Genomic DNA, 13765 nt, shown 5'->3' on the forward strand with positions numbered 1-13765 from the left:
AATTTTGCATTCATTATATTCTGACTTCCTCCCCACTTTACATGGAACTCTGTTCCACAAATTTACTTGGAACTGAAATCATCATATAGGCAATATTTAAGATAATATGATATTAGGTATCTCCCAGGTACATTTTGCCTGGGACAAATCTTCCCTCTGCTCCAGGCAAATATGAATATGCCTTACAGGAAAGCCTAAGAAAGAGAGAACAGGAAAAGGGTGACTTCTTTGAGCCTAGCTGGTGACTCTATTAAGCTAAATGTTATCCTTAAAATATTTTACTTATTTTATATAAATAGGAAAGTATTATCTGATAGCATTTTATTTATTCTGAAAATATTTCTCGATATTTCAGTTTGAAGAAATTTCATAATTAATCATGGTGTTAAGGCAATAAAGACATTCAATTATATTAAAAATCATAAATTTGAAACAAATAAATTTAAATTTCATCTGAGCAGCTCAACTTTTCACAAACCAGCTAAATAAATTTCGTAGTATCTGTATATGCAAATTACTTCAAGGGGCAGAAATTCTCTAGTATGCTTAACTTACAGCATTTAAAAATAACATAAAGATTCATCTTTTTAGACTTTATTAACAATGTGGGGATCAGAGGGGCATGAGCTAACAGCTAAGATAATTGCTGTGGAATCAGCTGTTCTTTTTGAAGATCTAGTCATAAATTATCTAGTCCTGCACTGTTCAACATAGTAGTCACTATCAACATATGCCTATTTAAATGAATTAAAATAAGCAAAATTTAAAATTCAATACTTCAGTCACACTAGCCACATTTCAAGTGTTCAATAGTCACATACAGCTGGTGGCTACAGCATTGGACAACACAGGTATAAAACATTTCCGTCATCACAGAAAGTTATATTGTACAGCACTGAATTCTCCCTCCCATTTGTGTGTCCCTATGTCTGATCTATATCATGAATACAATAAGGAAAATATGTAGGGCACTCGGTACTTATCCGGAATGCTGAAAATAAGATAGAACTTATCTTCCTCTTCAAAAGTTAATGAACACAAAACACTTCGTGTCCCAAGATGTTCTTATTAAGCCATGAAAGTTACAAGAAAATTAGGGGTGGAAATATTGAGAATTATATATTAGGTTCAATGAAGCACTAAAATATACTTGTCAAGTCCCCATTTGTCCGCTGTGTTTGGAATGAAGTAAGTGGAAAAGAGCATAAAAATGTTAAAATGCTTTTTACACAAAACAAACAATATTATGAAAGGAAATTCTTAATGTGTGTAAAGATTAAAATATTGTTGAAACAAACTAGCTGATAGAGTAGGATGGGCTTCACTCTATTGGGAAAAAGATATTTTTCCCTCTATGATTCCAATAGTTTATTCCTGCAAGACTTAAACTGAATGTGTTTAAATGTTCAAGGTCATAAATAGCAAGATAAGTCATAGTATTTCTTTGTATCTGAAAACTTACATGTATTGCATTACTGTAATACTTTTTTTTAAGTCTGCTTGCCCAGTTTTTTCTAATTTTTTCTGTTGGTTGTACGTTGAAATACAATGGCTTCGAAAAAAAAATCTAGAATTCTGAAACCTCAAAATTAACCATTAATATGATGGCTAAAATAGAAGGCAGATTTTCTCTTTAAAAAAATTATATAGTGGTGTTTTCCACTGTTAAAAAAGGAAAACTGAAGGAATGGCTTTTCTTCCATGCAATGTATTTCTAGAAAGAGGGATCATTGTCTCTGAACTTTCTTGACCTTAGCCTGTTCTCTTTTGCTAAAGTCATTAAAATGATTAGAACCTCAAGGAGGGTTACAGTGTTATATTCTTTTTCTCTTTTTAAGTTACTCTGAGCTGAATCAACCAGGTTTAAACCTTGCACACATCCTATTAATCCCATCTAGCTTTTCTGTCTGCCTGGATGAGTTTCTTCAACAGATTCTCTGAATATGCGTTAAAAAACATAAATCACTGGATTAAACTTGTAGAGAATGATGAAAGCTAAATTCGTGTATATACATGTGGCAGGACAAATGTACCCTTTTATTATTTAACCTGAATGAAAGCAATAAATTTGAAACAGGTTTAACTGATGATATTGGTAATCCACAACAGATTTTGTAAGTGTTTTTGAATGAACGTTGGTTTTGTTCAATAATCCCTTGGATTAAAGAAGGGTTAGATAACTCAAACAATCTGCAAAGAATCATATTATTTTGCTATTTATCTTTTATTTTTACCAAAAAAATGATAAGTATGGTTTAGGCTTTAGCAAATTAAACCAAAAACTGAATTATTCAATTCATTTTTTAAAATTTGTGGCTAGGATTACCCAAGAACATTTTTACCTATGTTCTTGGATAGCAGCCTGTTCTCCATCCTCTACTGTTAATACATAGTGTTATGTAGCAATAATACAGATCTTATTTTTAGGTAGACTGACAATAGCTTCTCAATTACTTGCTTTGCTGATCTATCGCATCCCCTTTAGGTCTTCCAAATTTTATAAACTTTAAAATGTAGAATAAAAATTCTTTAAATTTCCTCTGTATAGCCACTTATTTCCCTACCTCAACCCCTGCCCACATTCAAATAAAAGGTTTGAAAGAATTATTAGGTGGGTACTGGTATTCAGTTCTAATAATAATTAAAAGTGAATAATTGTTTGTTTATTTAGCAATTACTAGATGGTAGAAAGTCTCTTCATCCATTATCTCATTGAATTCCTCACAAAAACACTGTGAGACAGAGAGAATTTTTTCCCCATTTTTCCACGAGACAATTAAGTTACATGATAAATTAATATACCCAAGGTCACACATCTAGCAAGTGGTAGATCCGGGGTTCAAACACACCCACATCCATACTAGTTATCTATTGCAGCATAACAAATTATTCTAAAAAGTAATGGCTTAAAACAGTAAACTTTTATTACCATAGATTCTGAGTCAGGAATTAAGGGATGGCTTAGTTTGTTGGTTCTGGCTCAAGGTCTCTTAGGAGATTGTCGTCAAGATGTCAGCATGTAGGCCAGGTGCAATGGCTCACTCCTATGATCTTAGCACTTTAGGAGACTGAGGCAAGAGGACCACTTGAGGCCAGGAGTTCGAGACCAGCCTAGTCAACCTAATGAGACTCAGTCTCTACATAAAAGAAGAAAAACTTAGCCAGGCATGGTGGTGCACATCTGTAGTCCCAACTACTGGGGAGGCAGAGGTGAGAGGATTGCTTAAGTCTGTGAGTTCAAGGTTGCAGTGAGCTATGATCATGCCACTGCACTCCAGCCCTGATGACAGAGCCAGACCTTGTCTCTAAAAACAAATTTAATTTAAAATTAAAAATTAAACCAAAAAAGATGTCAGTAGAAATGTCAGCCATCTAAAGGTTTGACTGGGGCTTGAAGGTATGCTTCTAAGATGCCTCACTCACATGGGTATTGGCAGGGTGCCTAAGTTTCTCCCTAGCTGTTGGCAGAAAGCTCAGTTTCTTGCTCCATGGACCCTTCCAAAGAGCTGCTTGAGTGTCCTCTCAACGCATCTTAACCAATTCTTTCAAAGCAAAACAGAAGTCACAACATCATAGTCCCTCAGAAGTCACTCCAAAATTTCTGCAATATCCTATTGGTTACACAAATCAGCCCTACACTACAGCCTACACAAATCAGGGTGACACTACACAAGGAAGTGATTATCAAGGAACAGGGATCACTTGGACCATCTTGGAACCTGGCTATGTTCCCAGCACAAAATATATTATTAGAAAAGTTAGACAGTCTTGGTTTTTTTGTCTGTACTTACTGAATGAAGAAACTGCACTGAAAAGCTATATCCAACTGTAATTGCTACTCATTCATATTTTTAACATGGAGGATATTACATTCGTTTGTTTGTTTGTTTGTTTGTTTTTGACATGGAGTCTCACTCTGTCACCCAGGCTGGAGTGGTGCAGTGGCATGATCTCTGATCACTGCAACCGCTGCCTCCCAGGTTCAAGCAATTCTTGTGCCTCAGCCTCCCAAGTAGCTGGGGCTACAGGCGTGTGCCACCACACCAGGCTAATTTTTGTATTTTTAGTAGAGACGGGGTTTCGCTATGTTGGCCAGGTTGGTCTCGAACTCCTGACCTCGGGTGATCTTCCTGCTTCGGCCTCCCAAAGTACTGAGATTACAGACGTGAGCCACTGTGCCTGGCCTGGATATTACTTTTATTGGATAAAATTCCTAGAATAATACTTACCTCATATTCAAATATAGAAACAAAATCATATCCAAAGAGAGATCTTTAATTTTTTTCAGTTATCAATCATTCTGCTCTCACTCAAATTACCATTTTGCTCTAGTACAGATTACCACTGTGTAGGCAAGACATTCACAGATTACTTCTGTAAAGGTCCAGATAGTAAATATTTCAGCTGCACACCAGAGAATCCCTGTTGCAACTACCTAACTCTGCTGTTGGAATATCAAAGCAGTCATAAACAATATTAAGTGAATAGGCATGACTGTATTCCAATAAAACTTTATTTAAAAAAATATATAGTAGGCCAGACTGGGTGCAGCAGCCCACGTCTGTAATCCCAGCACTTTGGGAGGCTGAGGCGGGCAGATCACCTGAGGTCAGGAGTTGGAGACCCGCCTGGCCAAAGTGGTGAAACCCTGTCTCTACTATAAATACAAAAATTAGCTGGGCATGATGGCAGGCACCTATAATCCCAGCTAATCAGGAGGCTGAGGCATGAGAATTGCTTGAATCAGATAGGCAGAGGTTGCAGTGAGCCAAGATCATGCCACTGCATGTAGCCTGGGTGACAGAGCGAGACTCTGGCAAAAAAACAAATACAAATATATATATACATATATATATATAATATATATTTGTATATATGTATATATATGTGTATGTATATATATGTATATATGTATATATATGTGTGTGTGTGTATATATATACACACACATATATATATATGGTAGGCCAGATTCAGTAGTTGGGTGGACTTTTGAACAACTATCTTGATTTCACGTAACTAAAATGACTTTAAATTTTATGTGACAGAATGATGTTAAGTTGTTTGTCCGGCCCATAAAATATTGTACAATTTTAGGAAAGCTGACAGCACCATCAAGATAGAAAAGATGAGCCTCTGTAAAAACAGAGCGTAATAGATAAGACAAAAATTTTACACATCAAATCATCACTCTAAAAATATTAAGTCATTCTAGAAAATAAACAGAATTAAGGGTGGATAAAATTTTGATAATTCTTAATTCTGTCTGTATTATGAATACTTCATATTTTTAGCTGACTTGAATTCTCTAGACCTTATATATTGTGTCCAACACAGAATAGGCACTCGACACATATTTGTTGAATGAATTTCCACATGCTCCGCACCCCCCAGCCTTTGCTACCTTTTCTTGTCTCATCAACAAGCTTTTCAGGCCAACTTGAAGTTCACTGTCAGTTTTGCTTTTAAGAAGTCATCCAACAAAAAGTAAATAGCAGGTAAGAAATAGTTATTGAAAGATAATTGAAGATATAAAGACTTAAAAACAAATTGAAAAATTATAGAATAGAATGAACATTGACTTCAAATAGACTGGCTAACAGGAGCAATGAAGCATCAGACAATAGAGTAATTGGTGAGGAATTTATTGGCCTCTGACAAAGCTATTAAAGATAAGTTCCATTTAGTCATTCTCACTTTTACTGCAGTTGTTTTTACTTTGAGGCCAAGCATTATATTTTTAACCCACATTTTAATGTGGTTATATCTATAGCTTAAAACCTCTTATTATATCTACTACAGTGTTCATTCACTCATCCAAACAAACGTTTATTCATTTATTTCTTGAGCACCTACAATGTGCCAAGCACTAGGTAAGTTCTCAAAGATACAATGGAAAACAAAACATGGATCCTGCCCTTAAGGTGCTTGGAGGCTGATGGGGGATACAGAAAAGTAAACAGGCATGGTAAAAATGCACAGTGTCATAAGGTACAAAGCTCATATCCAAGTATATTAACTTCACATTAAACAGAAGTATTAAACTTTCATATTACAGGTCCCAAAGACAATACCTACTGTGCATTTCAGCTATTTCCACTTTTCAAAACAGAAGTAAAAACAACAAAATCATAAACACCATTACTGGAATATACTGCTTTATAACTGTATTACAGAAAATGCAAATTACTAAAGTGGTTTAAGGAGAAAAAAGTTTCCTGGCCAAATTATTTTGCAAAATGCTGGGTTCAACAAAATTAAACAGATTTCTTTTTTCACTGTAGAACTTTTCAGCACTTATAATATGGTAATAAGCATTGTGACTCACTCAGAGGGCAAATATGATTTGCAGTGTTTTGAAATGTATTTGATAAGGGTATGCTTTTTAAAGAAAGTGTCACTTAATATCTAGTAGGGCGTGAATGTTTATGGGAACGTAGTTTGACAAATACTACCAAATATAGTTTGAGAAATATTACCAATAACAATTTCACAGGTTTTAATCAAATCATATTCATTATAATCTAGGAGGGCTAACTCTTTAAGTGAAATATTAAATAAATCCTTTTGTTATGCAAGAGAGTATTTTTGCAAAACTCTCTAATTTAATATCTTTCAAATTCAGAATTTAGTTGATTTGTTCTTTTTTAAAGAAGCATTTCCCTGGGATCCTATTAAAGGCTATCAGGTTTTGCTAATCCTTGGCTAATTATGTGACAGAATTCAGGAGAGTCCAGATAGGAAGCAGAGGAGTCTGTGATCTCAGCTTGCAGAGGACAGCCAAAAGACGAGTAGATGAAGCAAACTGATGTCCCCAGGTTAGGCACCTTCTTTTCTTCCCCCTTCCTTAACCTTTTTCCTCTCCTTGTTTCTTTATAACTTATTTTCCCTTTCCCACTCTGTTTCTTTGCTTCCTCTCCCTTTTACTTAACTCCTTCTCAATGACATAGGTCTGTCTATGATCACCAAAGATTTAAATTTAACCCTACTAATAGCCATCCCAGCAATACTATTGCAATAGTATTTTATAATTCATGTGTGGGAATGAAAATAGTGAAGTAGGCAGCTCATTCATAGCAATGGAAGGGATAAAGAAGCTGTCCCCTGTTGGCACAGACTGACCTCTGATTTCCCAGTTTCCTCTCTACTGGCTCTACTGGTACTGGCTCTATCCCGTACAAAGTGGTTTTGAAAGATAAGATCACGCCATGTTAGTGCATGTGTGTGGAGGAGAACTTTTGAGATAGGATTTGACTTGTGCAGTATTTGCCTCCACATCAGGCACCTCATATTTGAATCCTTATATTTGAGTTTCTCTTATTATAAGGTGATCTACCAAGTCTTATTTTATATGATTAAATACTGGTTGGAGAAGACACATAGTCTCAAAGACTCAGACAACAATAGTTTTTCAATTGTTAGAGAAGTCTCTAATTGAATTGGTAAAAATAGGAGACAAAGAAAGTTAATACAGACAGTAGCTATTCCTGGGGCGTCTGCTTCATAATTGCAAGTGTTAGAAAATGTTGTAAACATGCCTTTATTCAGATTAGTTGGAAAAGCATTATAGTAAGTTATTACAAAGTGGATATCAAACAGACACCTAAAAATGAATTTTTTTTTAAGTTGCAAGTACTTGCAAAATAAGCCTAAGGGAATTCCTATAGGCTTAAGCAGGAAAACTATCTAACATGCAGTGAATACTTATAGAAGTGGGTGGTGGGGGAGGGGGAGGGGGAGGATGAAAATGAAAGTGGTTTAAGCTGCAGAAGGAGGAAAAATCAGAGATTGGTGACTGACCAAAGGAAGCACCTGCTTTCCGGAAATTAAAATCATGTGTTAGGCAGCTCTGACTTAATTGCCAAATGGGGTGAAGCCCAGCCTCTAGTGTAAAAGGGTCCCAGATTATAATTGGGCATCATGGATTAAAATTCAATACCTGAAAATTTCCTCAGAAATGAATGGGCAACTGGGACAGACTGCAGAGCCCAGTACAATATGCTTCCCGCAGCTGACACTGGCTGGTCACTTTATTTGGCACCAAATAAAGTTCCCAAGTGGTCTTTAAGGGCATTCAGCTGCTGAGTGCTTATTTCATTCATCTCTTATTGTGCTGCCAGTAGCAGATCCAAAGAAGTAGCATGAATCAGCTCTGTGGATAAAATTTTCTCAGGCTGCGTGGTGGAGATGCAACTGGACTCATTTCACTGCTTTAGTGGGACCTTCACTAGCAGCAGTACCTTGAATAGTAACAGCTTTCACACAATGTCATTCAACAGGAAATTTGAGGGAAAGCAGGACAAACTTGAACATTAGGAAACTTCCAAAATAAATGCCATTTAGCGAAGAAAACAAAAATCTTAATGAGAAACATTATATACTTTTGTCATTACCAGATACCTTAGAATATTGTGAAATAAAGCTCGTAGCTCCCCTCTGTGTGTACTTCCAGCTGCAAAGTAGAGGCTAGCGCCTAAATTTCCTACATTAAACATAAAACTATGGCATTATACTTACCTCTCTTTAGTTGCTTCTGTTTAAAGTAGCTAGAGGATTAAAAGTCAATCCATACAATACCTTTAGTTTTATATGGACTAATTTCAAAACACATACTCAATGGCAAAGTGTGTTTTCTTATTTCTGTCAATTCTAGTAAAATTTTCTGATTATAAAATAATGTTTCGTGTCTTCCCCCATGCCGGTTTAAAAACTGCAGGAGCTATAGTAATTCTGCTGAGGTCACGAACTTGTCTGATGAAGTACAGATGAATGTAAAATATTCTTCTAAGCTTAATAGGTCTTATTAATGTGTAGTTCCAGTACACATTTTTTAATTTAAATTCACGGAAAGGTTAAAAAGCAGTAGTTTTTACTATTGTTTTGCCTTTGGTTTAGGACAAATTATGCACATACCCACAAGAGAAACAGTCTGCTAATCATTTCGTATAAATCACTGTTAGCGGCAGTATCTAATAGTGCTACTATCACTGAATGATCAAGAGTCTTACATTTCCATTAGAATTAGGAGCAAGGGCTAATTATTTTTAGTTAAAGTTGAATTTAAACGGGAAGCATATTTTGGCATTTAGTCTGGAAACCCAGGACTGTTATAAAATGCCTGCTTGTAAATTCAGAGAATAGAAAAATACATACAGATTTTTTTTGTTTCTTGGTTTTTGGAGAAGTTGGTATAGTTACAGTGAGATCATTAATGTAAATATAGGAATATAATATAATTAATATAAGATGTTCTGTTCTTGTGTTTATGGCCAAATTCTGCAGTATAAAATGAATTAATTTACCCAAATAAATACGCATAGTATCTGGATGCTTCTCTAAATTGAATTTCTTTTAACTTTTTAGTAAGGAAAATTCCAAATTTATACTACACAGAATAGCATAATAAAACCCCATGTACCCACTACTTCACATCACTGATTAGCAACACATTATCCATTTTGTTTCATCTTTATCTCAACCCCTTTCCCTTCAGAATTCTCTTCTTCAACAGATGAAATAGTATGGGATTTAAAAATTGATGGAACTTATTTTATAAAATCTCTATCTCAGGATTAAGCATTTTATTTAAGAGGTTTTTGCTTTTCAGTTTACCCAGGAAAAGACAGGTGCACCCTACACACAACATGAAGTGGTGGATGAGGTGGGTATTTAGTAAACTCACACCTCAAACACCAAAAATTCAATGATCTGGGTTTTTGTTTTCTATCAGTTTTCTAGGTAATTAAAATGTTGCTCTTTTTCACCAGTGGAATTTTGAGTCTTCCACTTCTACCACTCCTCTAAACCTCTCAGCTTTTCTGCTTTCTTTTCTTCTTTCTCTCTTTATTTATTTTTGCTTCCCTCTAAATCATAAATAATAATAGTTCCTACATCATAGCTTTTTAGATTTTAATGACAGCCTCCAAGGACAGGTGCCAGTTAAATGAAACATATAATTAAAACTTGTGCTATTCTAAAATTGGGTTACTTGGCAATACTCAAATCAGAGGCTACCCCCATTCAGAAGACATGCATGTAGTATTTATCTGGGTTACCGGGTGTGCAGCAGATTCAATCAAGGCCAGTCTTTGCTAGGTGCCAAAAATGTGGTGGAATGTTTAGTTCGGCGCACCCACATTTCAGGTTTCTCTCCATGGCACCAGAGTAAGTGTTCTGCAGCTTGCAACATTGGCAACCAGTGTTCTTCTTCTTAACTAAAAATTTCAGTAAAGCAATATGTTTACCAAGCAATTAATTTAGGCATTTGCGCATATATATGTATGTATATGTGTATGAATTATCATACTTGTTGCATAAGTTTTATGAGTTTTTTATAAAGTTTATGATAAGTTTTTCTTTAACTTCCAGTACTTTCTCACTAAAAAATAGAAAGACATGATCTCAGTCTCAGTCCTAGTCTGGGACATAGACATCATGTTGTTGGATCCCATGTTTGTCCTTTCAAGCATGGTTATCATTTTTCTATAAGCAATCTCTTGAAGTAGCTTTGCTTTCAGAAGCTCCTGAGAATCCTTCCACGTTTACTCAAGAGCAAGCTTTCTGATTCTATTACTGTCCCTATTAATTCTACTCTGGTAACTCTTCAACCTTTCATTGATTTTCCTCTCTTTGGACTTGTCATTTGTGCCCTGCACCACAATGCTGACTGGGGGACAGGCACTATCTCTGCTGAGTTGGAAACGTCATGATGTTTTCATCGGTAGCATGCGACTCTTGATATCCTGTGTGAATTTAGGCTGGGCTCTAGTTCTCTTGGCCACACTCACCATTGAGATGCAGTCCCTGCTTTCATCCCCTTCTACTCTTGTACTCCTTGAGTCCTTCTACCTTACATCTTAATTCTGTATGTTTCACGTGGTTTTCCCACAAAGGTCTTCTCTGTGTGTGCATTGTCTCTCAGACAATATGACATTGCTGGTGAGTTTTCTCTAATGTCTCGCTAGTCTCCTTGGTGATACACTGACAGGCAGACATATCAACCAGACTCAGCTCTGTTTTGTAGCTGTGCCTTGGAGTCACAGTGATGCCTCTGGCTTGTCCTAACTCTTAAGCCTTCGCCTCTGCAAACCAGCAGTCAGACAGGACACTTTCCTTTCCCAAACCAAATGTCACTCACAGGATTATTGTTAGGAAATTAGCCCCTTCTCTATGCTCATGTACCAGTTTCCCATTTCAAATATTTCCCATAGTTTCAAAGCACTAGGCAAAAAATTCAAGTTGATACTGTTTAACCAGGCACACCTTTATTTTCAAATTATTTAAATATTCAATCTTTCCTGCCTCACTGTGTGTGTGGGTTTCACTCTAACAAATGTGCTATACAAAAATTTGGATGTATGTTTAATTTGATTTTCTTCTGAATAAATCTGAATTTTTTAAAAATCAGTAAGAAAAGGTGCAAACCATTAGGAAAGCATTTAAAGTAGATTAATTGCTTATCAAGTTTTCATTCTCTCTTCAAACCATATTGAACCACTTGTTTTACATGAATTCCAAAGGCTGGCACTAGCTTTCATTTCAAGAAATAAATGACACAGGGTATTATATTTTAAGCACCATTAAAACCTTGAAATTGCACAGTGACTTAGAAAACAACAAGTTAGTTAGTTTGGATAGCTTTGTAATAGTTATACAATGGGGAAATTCATTGTTAAACGACCCTCCCACTCTTATCTCACAGGTAATGCTTGTCAGAAAGAGGAAGGAAAAATGAGACTGGTATCCAGGTACACAGGTATAGGAAGATCAGAGAGAACGTACCAAATATTCACAGGGAATCTGTTATTCATTGATCCATGACTAGTGATTGGAAACTATTTTTGCCTGGACAGACAAATCTAGCTCATCGCTGTCATCCTAATTCCTAGCTTCTATAATCCACTACTAAAGTTGTTCTTATCTATATTTTAATGTGTTTGAACAGAGGGTGGTTGTAATACTGTTAATGAAACAATTTTAATATAAATGATTTAGGAATTATATTAAGTGGCATTTGAATCTGATGCTTCCACCACCTAATTTATCTCCTTTTTAACCTTTTCTTTTACACCTTCATTAGAATATCTATTAAGGTAATGAAATCTAGCTACCAGATTAAAAAGCAGAATACTCCAAGTTCTAAAATAATAAGAATGATAGTATTTAAAAAAATTTTTTTGAGCAAAATTTCAAACCAGTGAAAACAACAAACAACAAACCCCATCTGTTTTTATGATGCAACTCAAACAGCACCTGAGTCTATAAACAGGCAATAATTGGTTAGCTAACCAAAGTGATACAGTTCATTATTTTTCTATTGCACATTTATGTAGTTCCCCCCGAAGCACAAGCATAATTTGGTTTTTTTAAAAAATATGATTTACATATGGCACTTGAAGAGAGATGTTTTAGAAAATCATATAAAATATTCCTCCTTGTAAAAGCAATGTCCTCTCCTTCTTGTTAATGCCAAGGATGCTTTTCCCCAAACACTCATTCCCTGCTCAGAACAGTGTAGCCACTAATGAGGAAAACACAGCTAGTACCTCAGTTGAATGTTTTCCTTTGTTTACCTATGGGGAGTTCATTCTGCAATGGGAAGAATCTCTTACTATCAATGAGTCTGAAAGTGCTCAAATTCCACCAAGGGGAAAGTTACAAAGCTTTGTGTATCCATGGTTTAAGCTAAAGCAATGCAAAAGGAACTCTATCAACTCAAAGAGCATCAACCATGCTGCTTCCATTGTCTCCATGTATATAATACATTCCATCTTATTTACATGGGTTCTATTTCCAGTTACAAGATCACTGTTTGGCAATACGAGGGGATGTGTATCTAAAATGACAAACTGATCCTGGCACTTGCTACTTATTACAGGTATGTTATGTGTTTTCAGCCTATCGGGGATTTCTAGAGTAGTTCCAGTTACTGGCAATCAGACCTTGAAAACTACTCCATGCCCAATAATAATGAAGATCTTCAAATGGATTTTTTAAAGACAGCATTAATTCAGAATATAAATTAAGAGAATATATTTGATGGTGAAAAAGTGCAAACCTACCGACACATTTTGGTTTCATGTATAAAATATAAACAGCATATGAATTCTCCCTTGTGTCTTCAGAGGCATCTGCAGCTTTTTTTCCTTCTGAAGGGTGTTCAGAATATGCTATTTTAAGCATCATAACCCATAAATAAAATACAGTGCTTGCCAAAATTATTTTTTTACCTATATATAGGGCCTTTAGACACTGTTCTGAACTCTGATTTTCTCCTGAGATGCAATTTAAGATCTTTAAAAAAAAGTATTTAAAAGACTTCCTATGAGATATGCACAGCTTTTTTTTTTACATTTGTGTTTCTATATGGCCAAATTGCTCTGTTGTTATAAATACTGTACGTAAAATTACCAGATTACCTGGCATTCCATTTTTACAGGGGATACTGCATCGTTAAGCATGGAAAGAATATAATAAAACTATTCAAACTGCTTAAAATATTTTGTAACCATAAATTATTATCCAAAAATATTTTTCAAGTAGATAAAAAGAGTTGTCAATTCTACATAGTGAATGCCTCATAAGGGGCTCGTTTGTGGTTGAAAACTGAATAAAAGCGGTAAATTAAGACCAGACTTAACCATAGAGAAGCCGTAATCCACTGCAGATTTCCTTGGTGAATGAAGTATTGTGATGTGGATTTATCCTCCTTGCTTGTACAGTTAACCATTCACATCTGTGACCAAAGTGCTGTCTGTGCTCACAG

At 35.5% G+C, this 13765-nt stretch overlaps 1 protein-coding gene across 8 annotated transcripts in view; it reads left to right on the top strand.

Moving 5' to 3' along the window:
* The window catches only part of ADGRL2 (adhesion G protein-coupled receptor L2), a 687801-nt gene that overhangs the window by 260372 nt on the left and 413664 nt on the right, over positions 1 to 13765 (top strand). The window lies entirely within an intron of this gene.

This window comes from Homo sapiens, chromosome 1, assembly GCF_000001405.40.
Source record: "Homo sapiens chromosome 1, GRCh38.p14 Primary Assembly".
NCBI lineage: Eukaryota > Metazoa > Chordata > Mammalia > Primates > Hominidae > Homo > Homo sapiens.